The following is a 20,673-nucleotide window of genomic DNA, read 5'->3' on the forward strand; positions in this document are numbered from 1 at the left end:
GAGATGGGGTCTCACTTCATTGCCCAGGCTGGTCTCTAACTCCTGGGCTCAAGCGAACCTCCCACCTCAGCCTCCCAAAGTGCTGGGATTACAGGTGTCAGCCATCATGCCTGGCCAGATGATGACATTTAAGCTAAGACTAGGACAATGAGGAGTTATCCAGGTGTCAAGTGAGAGGAATGCATTTATACAGAGATAGTAACATGTGCAAAGGCCCTGGGGTGAGAAGGAGTTCCATGTGTTGAAGGAATTGGAATGTTGGGAGGAATGAAAAGGGTGTGGCAAAATATGTGGGCTGGGGAGGGAGGCAGGGGCTAGCTCAGGCAGGATGAGATAAACTCTGGTAAGGGTTGTATGTGCTCACAGAAACTCATTAACACTTCACTGAATGCTAATATTTATTTATCAGGTTTCAGAGTCTGTTTGTTCGTGAGGGGAGGGTTTTCCATCTTCTCCACTTGAATATAAACTCCTTGAAGGCAATGACCTTTGGTTCACAGTTCTATCACCAGCACCTAGAACAAGAACTAGAACAAAGGCAAATAAAGACACCCTTATCAGGCACAATGTTGCAAAGACTTAGTGGTTATCTTCCAGGAGCCAGTGAAGGGCCAGACCTTTCTTAGGAATGTGCAGGATTTGAACTCCCCAGACCTGCTGAGTCAACTCTACTGCAGGGGACCATACAGAGATGAGAAAGATGCGACATTCTTTCACTTCTGGGTAGCAGAGTCAACAAATGGAACCAGGGTGCCCCCAACGCCCGTTACCTATGACATCTTCCTCTGAAATAAGCTCAACAGAAGATGGTCCCTGGCTACAGTGACTTTTGTCAGGGATCTCCAAGACCGCCCTCAGGCCCATTGATTTGCCAGAAGGACCCACAGAATCAGGAAAGCCATTGTCCTCATGAACATTGTTTATTGCACTAAAAGGATACAGATTAAAATCAACCAAGGTACAAGATGCATAGGTCTCTCCAAGAGAGACCAGGGGTAAGTTTCCAGTAGTTTTCTCCCAGTGGAGTTAGAAGGATAGCTCCTAATGCTCTGTATTAGTCTGTTTTCATGCTGCTGATAAAGACACACCCGAGACTGGGTAATTTATGAAAAAAAAAAGAGGTTTAATGGACTCGCAGTTCCACGTGACTAGGGAGGCCTCACAATCATGGCAGAAGAGCAAGGGAGAGCAAAGGGATGTCTTACATGGCGGCTGGCAAAGAGAGAATGAGAGCCAAGTGAAAGGGGTTCTCCTTATAAAACCATCAGATCTTGTGAGACTTATTCACTGCCATGAAAACAGTATGGGGGAAACCACTCCTGTGATTCAATTACTTCCCACTGGGTCCCTCTCACAACACGTAGGAATTGTGGGGGCTACAATTCAAGATGAGATTTGGGTGGGGACACAGCCAAGCTATAAGAGACAATTAGCAATGTATACAAAGTACTGCCAGCCACAGCAGCTCCCCCAAGCCTTGGTGTCCAGGGGTTTTATCAGCATTTCATCACCCAGGCATGGAGCACCTGCATGGGTGACTTTTGTTACTCAGTCTCCAGCCCCTCTAGAGGTCAAACTGACACATACAAAAACAGGCACTCACCATAAATTGCATTGTTAGCATGGACTAGCTAGCTCAGCCTGAGGCCATAGGTAAACAAAGACACTCTTATCAGGCAGAATGTTCCAAAGACTTGGCGGTTATCTCCCAGGAGCCAGTCAAGGGCCAGAGCTTTCTTTGGAATGTGCAGGATTTGAACTCCCCAGACCGGCTGAGTCAACTCCTTACTGCATGGGGACCATATAGAGATGAGAAAGATGCCATATTCTTTCACTTCTGGGTAGCAGAGTCAACAAATGGACCAGGCTGAACGAAGACAGTCAGGTAGAACCAGAAACCACCTCCACCTGCACCCCTGCATAGGACCTAAAAAAATGTCATAGGACCATGACAACTTTTTTGAGACAGGGTCTCAGTCTGCCACCCAGGATGAAGAGCAGTGGTGCAATCATAGCTCACTGCAGCCTCAACCTCCCGGGCTAATGCTATCCTCCCATCTCAGCCTCCCAAGTAGCTGGGGGCATGTACCACATCTGGCTAATTTTTTGACTTTTTTTTTTTTTTTTGGAGAGATGGGGTCTCACTTCGTTGCCCAGGCCGGTCTCTAACTCCTGGGCTCATCAGGAGTTAGATGATCACCCAGATGAACAACAGGGACCTCATCCCTCCCCAGGGGTCCTGGGGTAGGACCCTCAGCAGATGAGAGGAGTAGCTCTCCTGGCCCATACCCATGCCCTGTTGTGGTGTTTATAAGCCTGTCATAGGTCAGGTTTCTAGAGAGACAAGCTGTGGGATGGAGATCTGGGTGCAGGGGGTTTACTGGGAGGAGCACCTGCTGGAAAGCAAGGAAGCAGCATTGGGCAGAGAGGGGAGTGGCACTGTGGAACAGTCGCCAGGACCCCTGAGACACCCCCTGTGATGGTTAATACTGAGTGTCAACTTAATTGGATTGAAGGATACAAAGTATTGTTTCTGGATGTGTCTGTGAGGGTGTTGCCAAAAAAGATTAATATTTGAGTCAGTGGACTAGGAAAAGCAGACCCACCCTCAATCTGGGTGGGCACCATCTAATCAGCTGTCAGCATAGCTAGAATATAAGCAGGCAGAGCAGCATGGAAGGGCTTGACTGGCTGAGTCTTCCAGCCTTCATCTTTCTCTCGTGCTGGATGCTTCCTGCCCTCGAACATCGGACTCTGAGTTCTTCAGCTTTGGGACTCTTGGACCTTTGACCACAGACTGAAGGCTGCACTGTTAGCGTCCCTACTTTTGAGGCTTTGGGAATTGGACTGGCTTCCTTGCTCCTCAGCTTGCAGATGGCCTATTGTGAGAGCTCACCTGGTAATCGTGTGAGTCAATACTCCTTAATCAACTCCCCTTTTCATATACATCTGTCCTATTAGTTCTGTCCCCCTAGAGAATGCTGACTAATACACTCCCATATGGAGGGGCAAGGGACAGAGCCTTTGTAACCCTCCAGGATTATGGGATGCCTAGGAGGGGAGGAGGATTTCCCAGCACTAGGTGGCTTCCTACAGGTGCCTTCTTGCCAGAGGCAGGACTTTGCTATGAGCTGTTAGCAGCCAGGTCTCCCAGCAGCTGGGGGGACAGAGGGCCTCGGTGGTCCTGCACAGAGGTCTGAGTGGTATAGCACCGACAGCGAAGCTAGTGACCAAAGTGGAAAGACAGAGATATGAAAATCTTTCAACTAATTAAGATTTAAAACTCAGATTGATGTGAGAATCCTGAATTGACTGTTTACCAAAGAGACTAGGTTTTAAATGAGAAGGGTCTGGGTTTACATTGACTTGGCAAGACTGAGTGTCCTATCACTGGAGTGACAAGGGAGGCTGGTGGGGATGGATCCAGGGAAAAGAAGCAAAGTATGGAACAAAGAAGTTTAGAATAAAGAAAGTGGCCAAGGCTGGGCGCCACAGTTCACACCTGTAATCCCAGGGTGGCCAAGGCAGGAAGATTGCTTGAGCCCAGAAGTTCAAGGCTGCAGTGAGCTATGATCATGCCACTGCACTCCAGCCTGGGTAGCAAAGCAAGAAAAAAAAAAAAAGCAAGAAAGGAAGGGAGGGATGGAGGAAGGAAGGAAGGGAGGGAGGGAAAGAGAGAGAGAAAGAGGAAAGAAAGAAAAAGAAAGAAGAAGAAAGAAAGAAGAAAGAGAAAGAGAGAAAGAAAGAAAGAAAGAAAGAAAGGAAGGAAGGAAGGAAGGAAGGAAGGAAGGAAGGAAGGAAGAAAGAAAGAAAGAAAGAAAGAAAGAAAGAAAGAAAGAAAGAAAGAAAGAAAGAAAGAGACAGACAGAAAGAAAGAAAGAAAGAAAGAAAGAAAGAAAGAAAGAAAGAAAGAAAGAGGCATCAAACCTCACAGGTTGAGGTAACTGTAAATACACGGTAGTTTATCCCTGAGCACAAAATCTCAATGGCACAGTCAAAGCCCCAAAGAAGTAAGAAACAAACATCATTTCCACCTTTTGGGCCTGAAGAAGCAGGTACATTAGAGAAGGGCAGCCACAATATCTGTGAACAGTCATTAAGCTCTCAGACACAGCATCCCACCTTCACCAATCTGATCTCCTTGATGGGGGTGATGCTCCCTCCAAGATAACAAAGAAAACCTGGCCAGGCACGGTGGCCCGCGTCTGTAATCCCAGCATTTTGGAAGGCTGAGGCAGGAGGATTGCTAGAGCCCAGGAGTTCAAGACCAGCCTGGGCAACATAGTGAGACCCCCGTCTCTTAATAAAATAAGAAAAAAGAAAAGAAAACCTTCCTTTTACATGAAGGCATCATACCTTAAATGCACATCCTATCTGCCCAGGAGGCCCACCTCTAGATTTGTATCCTACTGATGAACACACACCAAGATGGACATACTAGCATAAATTGTGGAGAATGACAGAAAATATCCTGAATGTCCACCATGAGGGAACTGATTAATTTATACACATCCATATACTGGAATACTACACAGCTGATAAAAAGAATAAGGAATGTCTATATGGACTGCTATGCAAAAACCTCAAAGATATATTGTTGAATGAAGTCAAGATGCAGTGTAATATGTACAATGGGCTATCATTTATAAAACCGGGAGGAGACATATATACATATGTTTTTCTATATAAAGATTGTATCTCTGGAAAGTTTCAAGAGAAGCCAGCAACACTTGTGACCTTGGAGAAGAAGAACTGGTGGTTGGGATGGAAAACAAACTTAATTTTCACTGTATACTTTTTCTGGTACTGTTTAATTTTTTTTTTTTACCATATGCACACGTTTCCTATTCAAAAGAGAATTTTTTTGAATAGGAAACAATGAAAAATCTTGTAGGCATACAAACTAAATTAATTAGCCATCCCTATAGCTTCAACATGCATTTCAATTTGCAAGCACCCTGGCCTCCAAGATTGATTGATTGGCTGTAAATTGAGAACCTCAGCAATTTCCTTTCACAGGGACAGATGTTGACATTGTTCCTGTGATTTTTCACAGATGTTTGCCTTCCAGCATCTTTAAAATCGAGTTTTCTGTCAATTTGGAAATCCCAAATTTCTCATATCAAATCGAGATGTCAGGAAAATCAAAACCGTTATCACATTTTGAAAGAGTTTATGGATGGCAAATGACACTGGGAAGGGAGATGTTTAAGGAGCAGCTGACGTCTCTTAACCCTTTCTCATCACTTCCTGCCTCAGTTTACCTAAGCCAGAAAAAGGGGAAATTTGATTCAATATACAGACAAGGGCTTTAGAGTCTGCGTAGCTGTGCGATCTCACTTTGGCTCCAACTCTCTAGCTGTGATACTTTGAACCAGTTCATTAACTTGCCCAGCCTCCTCTCTCTCATCTGTAAAATGGGGATAATATCCCCAGCCTTGCAGTGTGATTTTACAATTCACTGATGCAAAAATGGAAAATGCGTGGCACTTAGCACCACCTAAATGTTTTTTTCCTTTTTTTTTTCCCCTTTCCCTCCTCCTTCACCAATCCTCCAAGCAGCTTTTCTTCCTTCTTCACGTCCCCATTTTGCTCACGAGATTCCAAGATTTACCCACTGAAGCTCTCATGAGATTCCCAGATTTACCCATTGTTGAGAAATCAGAAACATCCCCCACCCCCTAGAATTCTCCTGACCTGTGTCCCCTCCCCTTAGGACTCTGCTCTCCCTCAGTGGCAACAGGCAGGAATATGATCTACTCATACAAACCAAACCTCTGCTGTTTGTACATCTTAGCTAATAATGCCCAACACGCAGCCAACATTTACTAAGTCAGGCTCTTGAGAGCCACTTCATCTGCATGACGCCACAAAATCCTCTCAGTTATTATTTCTGTTTTAGAGATATGGAAATGAGCACCAGAGGTAGATGTAACTTGACAAATATCTGGGTGGTAGATCTGGAAATCAAAGAACCCTGAACCCCAACCACAGACACATGTTCAGTTCAGGCTGGGTCTCTACGCTTTGTTATTTTTAACGGGGCATTACGCTCCCTGGATGGCTATGACGCTGCGGTTAACTCTGCTCTTGTGGATGAATGCAATTATCTGGGGAGCTCGCACTTATAAGATGTACAGCTATGGGCAACCTAAGGCACATCGTGGAGTCTTAATTTCCTCATCTGTCAAATGAGAATAGCAAGGATGGCAGGGAGGGATTAAGGAGCATTTTTGGAAAAGGAAGTGCTATGAAATGAACGTTTGTGCCTCCACCCCCAAACTGATATGTCGAAGCTGACACCCTAATTACCAGTGTTACGGTATTTGGGTATTTGAAGATGCGGCTTTGGTGATTATGTTTAGATGAGATCATAAGCCTAAGGTCCTGGAGATGCGATGTGTCCATATTAGAAGAGACACCAGAGATATCTTTCTCTGTCTCTCACTCTTGCTTGATCTCTCCCTCTCTCTCTCGCACTCTCTCTCATGCTGGCGTGCTCTCTCTCTCCCCTGTGAGGATACAACAAGAAGGCTTCCAACTGAAAGCCACAAAGAGGGCCCTCACTGGAGAAACAAATCACCCAGCACCTTGATCTTCGAATTCCCAGCCCCCAGAATAGTGAACAATAAATGTCTCCTGTTTAAGCCACGTAGTATGTGGTATTTTGTATGGCAGCCTGAGCAGACTGCCACAGTAGATGGTTGGTCCTTCCTCCAACCAATAATAGATGGCTTGTCCTTTCCATCGCCCACCTTGGGCAAGGCAAACAGGACAGTGAAGGCAAGCACATCTCACAGACCCCAGCATTCATGTGCTAATGAGGCTCACTACTAGTATTGGAAAGATGGGAAGTCAAACAGAATTATGTCCTTGCGAACATACAATAACTTGGAAAATTTTATTGAAAGACATTAAGTTTGCATACACACAAAAATGAGTGAAGAGTTTTTTGTTCCATTGAATAATTTAGAGGACATGTAAGAGAACACAAGTTTGAAATCTTATTATATTTTGTATAATGATACATAATAATTTCCATGATAAAGCTGATGTGTATTGAGGAGATCATATGTGCCAAGCACTCACTGTGTGTTAAGCATATTCTATTCATTGTATCATTTAATCCTCAAAATATGATCACCGCCTGTATTGATTGGGGTTTTCCAGAGAAACAGAACCAATGTCTAAACAGAGAGAGATTTCACGCAATTATGGAGGCTAACAAGTGCTGTCATCTGCAGGGCGAGGCAGCAAACTGGAGACCCCAGAGAACTGATGGTGTTAGTTCCAGTCCTAAGGCCAGCAGGCTCGAAACCCGGAAAGAGCAGTGTTTCAGTCTGAGTACAAAGGCAGAAAAAAGCCAATGGTGCAGTTTAAAAACCTTCAGGCAGGAGGAATTCTCTCTTACTTCGGAAAGGACCGACTTTTGCTCTATTCAGGTCTTCCGTGGATTGGATGAAGTCCACCCACATTAGGAGGGGCAACTGCTTTCCTCAATCTGCCAATTTAAATGACAATCATCCCAAAACGCCCTCACGAACACACCCAAAATGATGTTTAGGCAAATAGCTGTGCACCTGTATCCCTAAGAGTTAACACATAAAACCTACCAACCCATCACTCTTTCCAAATAGAAAAAGTGAGGCTCAGAGAGGTTAAGTCACTTCCCCAAAGTCACAGAGCTTCTTATAAGTGGTGGAGGGTTTGACTGAGGACCCATGCTCTATTGTAATCATAGAAAATCCTAGTGGAATTTTCCAATAGAATAAAATGCCTGCCCAGCTGCAGCCAAACGTTCCATAGACAATGTCTCTGGGCCTTTTGTGGCAGAAAAACCAACATAAGGAAAAGAAGGCCGGAGACGCCAGTTTTATCAAACTCCCATAAGGTAAAGGGAAATATCTTTCTGGGGAAAGGAGACTAAAGGAGAAAATTAACAGCCACTTTTCAGGGAGAGAGAAAGAGCAGGGACCCAGCCCCTCTGAGACTGTGGGCTGGGTGTGGCCTGAGCTGATTGGCAGCTCCATTGTAACTATACTGTAAAGGAATGACTCTACCGAAACTGAGCTAAAGGAGAGTTTGAAGCATTTTTAAAAACTCTGCCCAGGCCAGGCGTGGTGGCTCATGCCTGTAATCTCAGCACTTTGGGAAGCTGAGGCAGGCAGATCATTTGAGATCAGGAGTTCAAGACCAGCCTGGACAACATGGTGAAACCTCATCTCTACTAAAAATACAAAAATTAGCTGAACATGGTGGTGGACACCTGTAATCCCAGCTACTTGGGAGGCTGAGGCAGGAGAATCACTTGAACCCAAGAGGCAGAGGTTGCGGTGAACCAAGACTGCGCCACTGCACTCCAGCCTGGGTGACAGAGCGAGACTCTGTCCAAAAAAAAAAAAAAAAAATTCTCAGACAACCAGCAGTGATACAAGAGATAAAAGGCATCTGGCTTTACGCTGCAAACAAAACGGAAACAGGAAGTGAGAGAGCAGTTGGCCTCTAAGAAGCATCCATTTATTTTACCCTGCCAGGTGCCTACAAGGTGATGGTTTTGCCTCCCAAATATAATCAGGGGCCCAATCTCTGCATTCAAAGAAGTATATTTCAGCAACCCATAAGTAATCCAAAAGCAGTTCCCCACACATCAGCTCAAACAGTGTTACAGGGCAGGCATTCTTGGTGCCATCAGATCCAATGTCCCATGTTTTAACCAACAATTGAAAAGCCCTCTTTTTTTTTTGAGACAGGGTCTCACTCTATAGTCCAGGCTGGAGGGCAGTGGTGGGATCTTGGCTCATTGCAACCTCCACCTCCTGAGTTCAAGCGATTCTCGTGCCTCAGCCTCCCGAGTAGCTGGGATTACAGATGCGTGCCACCATGCCCGGTACATTGTTTTTTTTGTATTTTTGGTAGAGACAGGGTTTCACCATGTTGGCCAGGCTGGTCTCGAACTCCTGACCTCAAATGATCCACCAGCCTCAGCCTCCCAAAGTGCTGGGATTATAGGCGTGAGCCACCATGCCCAGCTGAAAAGCTCTCTTTTCTACCCTGAAAAAAAAAAAATGTGCTGATCCTATAACCCATCTACTCTTCTAACCAATCACAATTGTGCCCTAATTATAATAAAAAGGAGAAATGAAATGATGAGGATTTCTAATGAAATAATATATAGAGAAATGATTTGGGTTTCCACCAGGAAAGACGGAGCGAAGCAGTCAAGTGCTCACACACGTGTGTGTAGAATAACCAGTGACAGTCACAAACGCAGACAGCGTGGTGTGTTGTCGCATCGGCTTTACTGAGAGTGCCATGTTCTTCAAAAGAGTGGCTCTTTCTTGATAAATTCCCATACCAAACAGAGTCAAATCTTCTCTTGATTTACACCATAGCTGCTACATTCTTGGAAACATCAGTGTTCATTCAACACTTACATGTAAAATAGAACATGTAAACATATAAAATAGAATAGGCAGATAAAATAGAAGAAGGTTGGACCGGGCGTGGTGGCTCACACCTGTAATCCTAGCACTTTGGGAGGCCGAGGTGGGCCGATCACAAGATCAAGAGAGCAAGACCATCCTGGCCAACAGGGTGAAACTCCGTCTCTACTAAAAATACAAAAATTAGCTGGACGTGGTAGTACCCGCCTGTAGTCCCACCTACTCGGGAGGCTGAGGCAGGAGAATCGCTGGAACCGGGGAGGCAGAGGTTGCAGTGAGCCGAGATGGCACCACTGCACTCCAGCCTGGGTGACAGAGTGAGACTCTGTTTCAAAAAAAAAAAAAAAAAATAGAACAAGGTTATAGACTCTGATAATCATGGTTCTTCTAACCCATATGAATTTGGGATCTACACATATATATATTCAAAAAACTACCCCACACCGTAATGACTCCCCCATCCCTATCATTAGGGCAACCAAAAGCTCTCTGCAGATTTAAAACACACACACACACACACACAAACACACACACACACAAACACACACACACAAACACACACACACACACAAACACACAGACACACACACAAACACACACACACACAAACACACACACACACACAAACACACACACACGGGACAATTCAGTCCCCAGTGAGAACCTCTGTAATAAAAGGTCCAATTCCTAACCTGCAATAATATTCTTTTTTTTTTTTTTTGAGACAGAGTCTCGCTGTCGCCCGGGCTGGAGTGCAGTGGTGCGACCTCAGCTCACTGCAAGCTCCGCCTCCCAGGTTCACGCCATTCTCCTGCCTCAGCCTCCCGAGTAGCTGGGACTACAGGCATCCGCCACCATGGCCGGCTACTTTTTTGTATTTTTAGTAGAGACGGGGTTTCACTGTGTTAGCCAGGATGGTCTCCATCTACTGACCTCGTGATCTGCCCGCCTCAGCCTCCAAAGTGCTGGGATTACAGGCGTGAGCCACCACGACTGGCCCACAATAATATTCTTAAAGTCCCCTTTCCCGCCTCCTCAGTTCTCCCACAATTCCCAGTTTCCCCAGAACAAACCCCAAGAGATTTCTCTGCCCTTCCCCCCACCCCCAGGCAGAGATGTCTTCCAACTCTTCCCCAGCACTGTAACTCTCCACTCTGGTCAAGTGGACTCCACCTTGGGGAAAGAATGTTTGTACCGGGCACCAAACTAGACTTTGGAGATACACTAGTTCTTAGTATCTGCTAGTATCTGCTACTGTGATAATTAAGGTAATTATTTAGACCAGGAATCTGCAAAATACAGCCTGAAGGCCAAATCCGAGCTGCCTGTTTTCCTATGGCCTGAAAGCTAAGAAAGAATGGTTCTTACATTTTATATTATTATTATTATTATTATTATTATTATTATTATTATTATTATTATTATTTTGAGATGGAGTCTCGCTCTGTCGCCCAGGCTGGAGTGCAGTGGCACCATCTCAGCTCACTGCAACATCTGCCTGCCAGGCTCAAGCGATTCTACTGCCTCAGCCTCCTGAGTAGTTGGAATTACAGGCACCTGCCACCACACCCGGCTAATTTTTGTATTTTTAGTAGAGACAGGGCTTTACCATGTTGTCCAGGCTGGTCTCGAACTCCTGACCTCAGGTCATCCGCCCACCTCGGCCTCCCAAAGTACTGGGATTACAGGCATGAGCCACTGCGCCCAGCTAGTTCTTACATTTTAAATAGTTAGTGGGAAAAAGACAAAAGGAATAATACGTCATTACATGACAATTATATGAAATTCCAATTTCAGAGTTTATAAATAAAGTATTGTCTGTGGCTGCTTTTGCACTACAATGGCAGGGTTGCATGGTTGCAAGAGAGCACATGGCCCCCAAAGCCTCAGATAATCCACTATCTGGGCCTTTACAGTAAGGTTGTCAGCCCCTGGCTTAGGCACTAAACAGGTGCTTTCAAGCACCTACTATATGCCAGACACTAAAGTAATAGAGAGGGGAGACAATCAACAAGAAGCATTCTTTCTCAAAAGTTTTAGGCTGGGCACAGTGGCTAAAGCCTATAATCCCAGTACTTTGGGAGGTCGCGGCAGGAGGGTCAATTGAATGCAGGAGTCCAAGACCAGCCTAGGCAACATAGTAAGACCCCGTCTCCTCAAAAAATGCAAAAAAAAAAAAAAAAATTAGTTGAGCATGGCAGTGTGTGCCTGTAGTCCCAGGTAGTTGGGAGGCTGAGGTGGGAGGATCACTTGAGCCCAGGAGGTCAAGGCTGCAGTGAGCCAAGCCATGATGGTGCAATGGCACTGCAGCCTGGGAGACAGAGTGAGACCCTGTCTCAAATAAATAAATAAGTAAATTAATTAATTAATTAATTAAATTAAAAGCATGTTATTCAGAATCACATAGACTTGGGCTCAGCTCTTCAGCCATAAGCATGTTTCTTTTCTCTTTTTCTTTTTTTTTTTTTTTTTGTTGAGACAGAGCCTTGCTCTGTCACCCAGGTTGGAGTGCAGTGGCACGATCTTGGCTGACTGCAACCTCCACCTCATGAGGTCAAGCGATTCTCCTACCTCAGCTTCCTGAGTAGCTGGGATTACAGGCACGTGCCACGATGATCGGCTAATATTTGTTTTTCTTTCTTTTTTTTTTTTTTTTTGAGACGGAGTTTCGCTCTTTTTGCCCAGGCTGGAGTGCAATGGTGCAATCTCAGCTCACTGCAACCTCCTGCCTTCCGGGTTCAAGCGATTCTCCTGTCTCAGCTTCCCGAGTAACTGGGATTACAGGCGCATGCCACCACACCTGGCCTAATGTTTGTATTTTTAGTAGAGACAGGGTTTCACCATGTTGGCCAGGCTGGTCTCGAATGCTGAACCTCATGATCCGCCCACCTCAGCCTCCCAAAGTGCTGGGATTACAAGCGTGAGCCACCGCGCCCGGCCCATGAGCATGTTTCTTGACCTCAGTTTCCCCTTCTGTAAAGCATGGTGTGGATTGTTCACCTCGCATGGGCATGTGAATATCAAATGAGACATCCTGTGCAATGTGCCTCAGACAAAGAAAGGAGATCAGCAAATAATATTTCCTTTCTAGTTCATCCTCTCTTCCCATGTATGCCAAGAAAGCAGGCGAGATTGAGTGAGGGAGGTCATATCCTCTTTGTCTAAATGTTTTCTTGTTAGAGAACATCTTTCTTCTTAACATCCCTTCCTACATAAAGAATCTCTGTCAGAGGAATATTAAAAGGCCCTAACCTACAGTTAGATGGAAGGCGAGACTCCGATCTCACAGCTGAATCACTTTAGTCTACCTCTCTACCCATCTAATGTTACCCCCTTCAAAAATAATAATAATAATATGAAAGTTGGGAAGTGGAAAACCATCCTCTGGAGTTTTCAAAAACTAATTCCGTTGTAATCATAGAAGACTGAAGGCAGGATTCATGTCACATTTCTCTTCCTCCTGGGCAGATGAATCTACAATTTGTATTTGATTTTAAATGTGATTCTCCTGCATCTTCAGTGGGTTTGATTGATAGAGCACATGGGGCCACTCAGTAAAATGATACAGTGGAGATCAAAGCCGGAGAGATAATTTTTGCCAAAATGTCTGCAGCCGACAGTGAGTTATAAGCCTTTGTCTCCCACTTTACGGAACACAATTTTATTTAAAGCCGAAATCTGTCACTTTGGTATTGTTTATTGAAATGCATCCCATACCACGGTCCCGTGAAGAACAACGTCAAGTCAAAAGGTAAAAAAATCCAATGGTTACAAACAGCCCAGGACCAAATAAAGGAGGGAGAATGCTTCCAATCTGCATAAATATTACCCACCAGTGATGCATTTGGGGCAAGCAATGAAGTCATTCATCTGCAAAGTAAATATCTGGCATTGTCAGAGGTGCCTGACACAGCCCCATAAACCCAGTGAGTTCTGTTCCATTCAGCAGCTCACACATCTCTATTTGATAACTTTGCTTTATTTATGGGTCCACAATGGGAGTCATAACTGGGTTTTTATCTTTGCACAACTTTTTTACTTTATTTTTTGAGACAGGGTCTCACTCTGTCACCCAGGCTGGAAGTGCAGTGGTGTGATCACAGCTCACTGCAGCCTCGACCTCCTGTGCCCAAGCAATCCTCCCACCTCAGCCTCCCAAGTAGATGGGATTACAGAAATGCACTTCCACACCTTGCTAATTTATATTAGTTTTTGTAGAGACGGGCTCTCCCTAGGTTGCTCAGGCTGGTCTTGAACTCCTGGGCTCAAGTGATCCTCCCACCTAGGCCTTCCAAGTAGCTGGGACTACAGATGCACACCACCATACCCAGCTAATTTTTAAATTTTTTATAGAAAAGGAGTCTCACTATGTTGCCCAGGCTAGTCTCAAACTCCTGGCCTCAAGACATTCTCCCACCTTGGCCTCCCAAATTGCTGAGATTACAGGTGTGAGCCACTGTGCCCAGCTTGCACAGCTTTTTTAAACCTTTTTTTTTTTTTTGCATTCATTCACGCTTTTCATACATCATGATTGAGGATCTACCCTGCAGACTGTATGGAGTTATCTAGAAGGCAGGAAGGCAGAGAACTAAAACCTTTGGTTAAAATATCTGGGGTTGAGCTCAGTGTTTCCTGCTCTCCAGCTATGTGACCTTGATCGGGTCTCTTCACCTGTCTGAACCTCAGTTTCCCCACTGCAAAGTGGAGAGCAAATGAGACCATGGACTTGGAAATGCTTCATACATTTCTGAGTGCCTCACAGATATGAAGCCCAAAGATAGCACCATTCTAGGCTCTGTCAGGACAATGAGGCCAAAGTTGTCACTGATGCCATAAAGTTGTCTCTACAGCGAAAGGTCCCTGGAATTAGCAGGAGGCTTTTGTGGAGCAAATGCCTCCTTTTCTGCGTAGAAAGTGAGATGCCTCAATCACTCTGCCTAGATGCCTCTAGATGCCTCAATTCCTCTGCCACCAACAGACTCTGTGACATTGGGTCACTTTTGAGATTCCTGGGTCCTGCCTACTTCACCAGAATGTCATGTTCTGGAACCTTCTCAGTCTCCAACCTCATCACTCACAAGCTTTTCTTATGCTTTGATAGATGCTACGATTGCTTGTCAAAAAAAGAGCCTCTCTTCTCCGTTGCTAAGAGAACCCCAATTTTTAAAGTATTGAACAGTCACATGCTTTAGGAGAAGTTGCCCTTCTGAGCCTCAAGGAGTGAATCTTGACTGACCTAAACTAATCATAGTAATACTGACCCCCTGTCTAGTGATTGCTTTCGAATAGGCACGTGACCCATTGTGACCAATGAGAGTTGATGGAAATTTCCTCCTTGCTGTCAACAATGGACACAAGGAAGACACATTTTCTCCTCTGACCTTTGGACATTGAACGTTATTGTGTTAGGATGTGATGTAAGGCACTGTGGCACCCATTTTGTGCTCATTAGAGGAAAAGACTGGAATTAAGCCCTTGCTCTGTAAGTCAGAGCACAAAGATGGCAAGAGCCCAGGTCTTTGATGATACAACTGAACTACTGAATAAACCAACCCTAGACTCACCTACCCCCAAATTCCTTTTAATGTGAGAGAATAATGTCCCATCTTGTTTAAGCAATTTCAGGTTTCCATTACTTACTAATGAATATATTTGGATTCCAAGTTGTTATTTCCTTGCATGGAATGCTTCTGACACAACTCACCCTTGCTAGCCTCAAGGGTGGTGGCCGAACTGGGGAGGGTCCAAGAGGAATTGCAAAAAACAGAGCTGCAAGGAGCAGCCTTATCTCTGACCGCTGTGGTGAGCCCTCCACTTTGTATACCCTCCCCCAACCGTGTGACTCTGGATCAGCCAATCAGGTGATCTCTCTTGGCACCTTGACTCATGATGCAAGAACACAGGCCCTATTGGGTTTCCATGAATTCTCTGCAGGGAGAGCAGGGGTCCCCAGATCAGCCTATCCCTAACGCATGCCCTTGGAGGAGTTGCCGCTATAAAGCTATCTGGAGTCACCTTGTATGGGGTGTTTTCCAAGGCTGGGCCTTCAGCAGTGCCTTCGGCATGTTCTCTTTCTTTGGTAAGAGTCAGTTTCTGGGGTGAACAACTGAGAACTCAGGGACATAGACAAGAAATCATGTCTCATTCTTAAAAGCCTCAGCACAAGTCCTGGCATAGAGTAAGTGTTGAAGGGAGGTTGGATGAATGAATAAAGGAGTGAGAAAGTTAATTGCTTCCCTTCTCTGGGCTGCTGTATCAATCAAGGTTGTGGCAGGAAATACATAGTAAACTCAAATGGGGTAACTAAAAAGAGTTTAGCAAAGGGCTATATATAGCTGTATAAGTGGGATTAAAAAAAACAAAAACAAAAAGGGAGGTTGCAGTAGCCCTAACTAGCAGCAGTGAGGAGCCATTTCTACCCCTAGACCTGGAGGGGAAATAGTTATGGAACCCAAGGAGAGTAGCCACAGTCTTCAGGGAAAGACAGCTGCCTGGCAGGAGCTTCCAACCTATGGCAACCCAACAGGAAGGAGCCACAGAAATAAATATCCGAATCCCTCTCTCCTCCCACCTTCTAGTATTCTATGATCCCCACCCCATTGGCCAAACCCAAGCAGCCACAAGAGGATGGGAGACCACATGTGATGTAGTCCATAGAAGTCAGCCTCCTGGGGTACAAAGCAGGAAATGGGGGTGGACAGTGGATGTAAAGGAGCAAATACAAAATATCCGGCACAGATATTGCTATGGTTTGCATGTGTTCCCCAAAGTTCAAGTGCTGGAAACTTAATCCCTGATGCAACCGTGTTGAGAGGTGAGGCCTTCAAGAGGTGTTTGGATCATGGGGACATCATCTTTCTGAATGGATTAATGCCTTTATCATGGGAGCGGGCTGGTTTTCACAGGAGCAGGTGCTCTCTCTCACCCTCTCTCTCACCCATGTGATGCCTTGGGTCACACCATGATGCAGCAAGAAGGCCTTCACCAGATGTAAGCTCTCAACCTCGGACTTCCCAGCCTCCAGAACTGTGAGCCAAGTAAATTTCTATTCATTGTAAATTACCTGGTCTGTGGTATTCTGTTATAGCAGCACAAAATGGACTAAGACAGATAGTATCTAGTGATAGGATAGACTACAAGAATCTCTTTCACCCAGATCCTGCAGCCACAAAAGGGCCAACGCTCTTTGGAGAGTTTATCTCTCACCCAAGCAGCCACCAGCATCATCAGCAAACAGCAATGTTCCTCTACACGCTTGTGTGTTTCCTTCATTGGTACAAGTTTCCACCATTGTTTTGCTTATAAGAGAAACCATTCTCCAAAGCCCAGAGTAATTATAGAGCCCAGAAGTCTTGGGGCTTTCTGAATTTGAAGCAGATTCAGGGCTCAAGAGAGCCAAGAAGTCATATCAATGCCAGGAATCTGGACCCCAGGCAGACAGCGTGGATAACCTACCCCAACAGAGGTGCAGGCTCTCTTCCTTTCACCCAAAAAATAGCAAACACATTTATTGATCACCGTGGGCCCTTTCCTTCCACCTGGAGGTTAGCAGGAACTTTCAAAGGTTTAGTGTCATCCATATCCCATTGTCTTCTTCATGCACAGAAAAGAGAAACTTCTTCATCTCTGGAAAGGAGACATGGACTCACACTCCCCTTATTCTGAATTTTTGCCCACTAAGCCATTTCACAGGAAGTTAGCCATGGTTTGTGGATTTTTAAATGCTTCTGGGAGGAGAAGGATTTACTAGTGATAAGAAATAAAAATGCAAATGTTTTACTGATGACATATGCATGTAAAGTGCTTGATATAATGCCTGACATGGAAAAAACACTCAATAAACGTTAGTCATCAGTATTTATATCATCATTCCTTTTAATACACGCCATCGACTGGGTGCAGTGGCTCATGCCTGTTATCCCAGCACTTTGGGAAGCAGAGGCGAGAGGATCACTTGAGCCCAGGAGTTTGAGACGAGCCTGGGCAACATAAGAAGACCCCATCTCTATAAAAGAATCTTTAAAAATTACCTAGGTATGGTGGCATGTGCATACAGTCCCAGCTACTCAGGAGGCTGGGGTGGGAGGATCAATTGAGCCCAGGAGGTCAAAATGAGGCTGCAGTGAACCATGATAGTACAAAAAAATAGTTAGAAAGAATGAATAAGGCCGGGTGCGGTGGCTTACTCCTGTAATCCCAACACTTTGGGAGGCCAAGGTGGGTGGATCATGAGGTCAGGACTTCGAGACCAGCCTGGTCAATATGGTGAAACCCCATCTCTACTAAAAAATACAAAAGTTAGCCGGGCGTGGTGACAGGCGCCTGTAGTCCCAGCTACCCAGGAGGCTGAGGCAGGAGAATTCCTGGAACCTGGGAGGCAGAGGTTGCAGTGAGCCAAGATCGCACCACTGCTCTCCAGCCTGGGCGACAGAGCAAGACTCCATCTCAAAAAAAAAAAAAAAAAGAATGAATAAGACCTACTATTTGCTAGCACAATGGGGTGACTATAATCAAAAACAATTTAATCGTACATTTTAGAATAACTAAAACAGAATAATTAGATTGTAACACAAAGGAAAACGCTTGAGATGATGGATACCCCATTTGGCCTGATGTGATAATTACACATTGCATGCCTACAATATCTCACGTAACCCATAAATATATACACCTACGATGTAGTCACAAAAACTAAAACTAAATATAAAACAACAAGCATTTATCATCTAATTGTCTGGATTTGGAACCCACAAGCCAACTCAGCTAAGTGCTCTGGCTTAGGGTCTCCCATGAGGCTGCAGGTAAGATGTCAGCCAGGACTGCAGTCATCTGAGCGTTTCTGGGGCTGAAGACTAGGCTTCCAGGCTCACTGTGTGGTTGTCTCTATCCCTTACTGGCTCTTAGACAGAAACCTCAATTCCTCACCACGTGGGCCTCTCCGTAAAGTGCCTTAGTGTCCTCAAAACATGGCAGCTGGCTTCCTCCAAAGCGACTGATCCAAGAAAGAGAGAGAAAGAGCCAACAATGGAAGCTGCAGTCTTTCATGACGTAATCGCGGAAGTGACATAACATCACTTCTGCGGCATTGGTCACACACGAGCCCCAACATGGATCTTTCCAGCGTGGGAGGGGACTAAACAAGGTGTGAATGGCAGCAGGCAGGGATTGTTGCGGGCCATCTTGAAAACTGGTTCCCTCAGAGGAGAGCTGGAAGGCTGGGGACAAGGACACAAGAGAGGCTTTTTTATTTTTTTATTTTTTTGAGACCGAGTCTCGCTCTCGCTGCCCAGGCTGAAGTGCAATGGCGCGATCTCAGCTCACTGCAACCTCCGCCTCCCGGGTTCCGGGAATTCTCCTGCCTCAGCCTCAGCAGAGTTCCCCAAGGGTGCCTGTTGGCCTAGTTTGAGACTCTTGGCTCTGTTAGTGGGAGTCTCAAACTATGCTCCAGGCTGCTGATTGTTCTGAGGGATTTCTCTCTCTTTCTTTCTAACACTAAGAAATAGGAACTTGGCCTCCCAGAGTGCTGGGATTACAGGCGTGAGCCACCACGCCTGGCCTGTCTGTAATCTTTAAAAGTAATAGCATATTAGCTCTGAGGGTCGGTTGGATTTTTTTTTTTTAAACAGTTGGCAGTCATTTGTAGCCAAGTCAGGTGAAAAGGGTAGGTGATCAAGCTCATTACAATTTTTATTGAAATAAAATTTATCTTTAGTAACGAGATTGATTTTTTGTGTGTGACTCCGGAGGGCAGTTTGCCCAGAGCAGTGGTTTTCAGACTCTTAACAAACTATCCCTGAGAGGAAAAGAGAATGAATTCATACTCTGTGGAGTGTAGCCCAAAATAACCTCTGCAAGGGTGAAATTTTCTTTGAAGTCTTATTTTACCTTAGGTATTTGTGAACTCTGCGTTCTATTTTGTGCCACATGTGTTTTAAGTTACTATTACTCTGCTAAAGTTTATTCATCCTCCAGGAAGATGATGATGTTTGTACTGTAGTTTTTTATGTCCCAGGGATACAGCAGGGTTCCCCAAGGGTACCTGTTGGCCTAGTTTGAGACTCTTGGCTCTGTTAGTGGGAGTCTCAAACTATGCTCCAGGCTGCTGATTGTTCTGAGGGATTTCTCTTTCTTTCTAACACTAAGAAATAGGAAATACAGTTTTCAGTTTAAAAATAACATAATTAAAAAGTGTAGAAAAGTCTCTCTTGGCCGGGCACGGTGGCTCACGCCTGTAATCCCAGCACTTTGGAAGGCCGAGGCGGGCGGATCACGAGGTCAGGAGTTCGAGACCAGCCTCACCAACATGGCAAAATCCCATCTCTACTAAAAATACAAAAATTAGCTGGGTGTGGAGGCAGGCAGCTGTAATCCCAGCTACTCGGGAGGCTGAGGCAGGAGAATCGCTTGAACCCAGGAGGTGGAGGTTGCAGTGAGCTGAGAATGCACTACTGCACTCCAGCCTGGGTGACAGAGTGAGACTGTCTCAAAAAAAAAAAAAAAAATTACAGGCAAAAGAGGTTGCCCATGTTCTCATCATTGGCAGCAGCAGCATCAAAATATGGCACCCACTCCAGTGATGCCTTTCCAGAAGGAGCAACACTCATGTGAAACCACCAGCTTTGCTTTGTTTTGGTTGTTGCTGTTGTTGTTTTTTCAGAGAGAGTCTCACTCTGTTGCTCAGGCTGGAGTGCAGTGGTGGGATCATAGCTCACTGCAGCCTTGAACTCCTGGGCTCAAGCGATCCTCCTGCTTCAGCCTCCCCAGTAGCTGTGGCTACAGGTGCACACCAGCACGCCTTGCTAATTCAAAAAAAAAAAAAAAAGAAAAAGAAAAGAATTGTAGAGATGGGGTCTCGCTATATTACCCAGGCTGGTCTCAAACTTCTGACCTCAAGTGATCCTCCTGCCTTGGCCTCCCAAAGTGGCAGGATTACAGGCATAATCCAGCCATTGTCCCTGGCCTGGCTTTTTTTTTTTTTTTTTTTTTTAATGTAGCTCACGACCACAAACGGAGTTTGGTTTCCTTGCTCTCTCTTTTTCCCATTTGGTACTTTTCTTTCTCTCCCATGCACTCCTCTTCAAACCAAAAGTGAATCTTGTTATTTCTTGAAAAATGTGTAGATGTTGAAGGGATGAAAAACCTGAACTCTAACGTCTGACTATCTGAACCCAAATTCTAGCCGCCCCACTCAGTTGCTGTGTGACTGTGAGTAAGTTCTTACCCTCTCTGA

At 45.2% G+C, this 20,673-nt stretch overlaps 1 long non-coding RNA gene across 1 annotated transcript; it reads right to left on the reverse strand.

Annotated features, from left to right (window-relative positions):
- Nucleotides 1–427: 427 nt before the first annotated feature.
- On the reverse strand, nt 428–18,442 carry LOC105376751 (uncharacterized). The gene is made up of 3 exons (XR_933149.3): nt 18,369–18,442; nt 16,899–17,189; nt 428–527 (listed from the first exon to the last, which is right to left on the reverse strand). It is a non-coding gene; the product is annotated as an uncharacterized LOC105376751 (long non-coding RNA).
- Between the last annotated feature and the right edge of the window lie 2,231 nt (nt 18,443–20,673).

Source organism: Homo sapiens, chromosome 16, assembly GCF_000001405.40.
Source record: "Homo sapiens chromosome 16, GRCh38.p14 Primary Assembly".
Taxonomy (NCBI): Eukaryota; Metazoa; Chordata; class Mammalia; order Primates; family Hominidae; genus Homo; species Homo sapiens.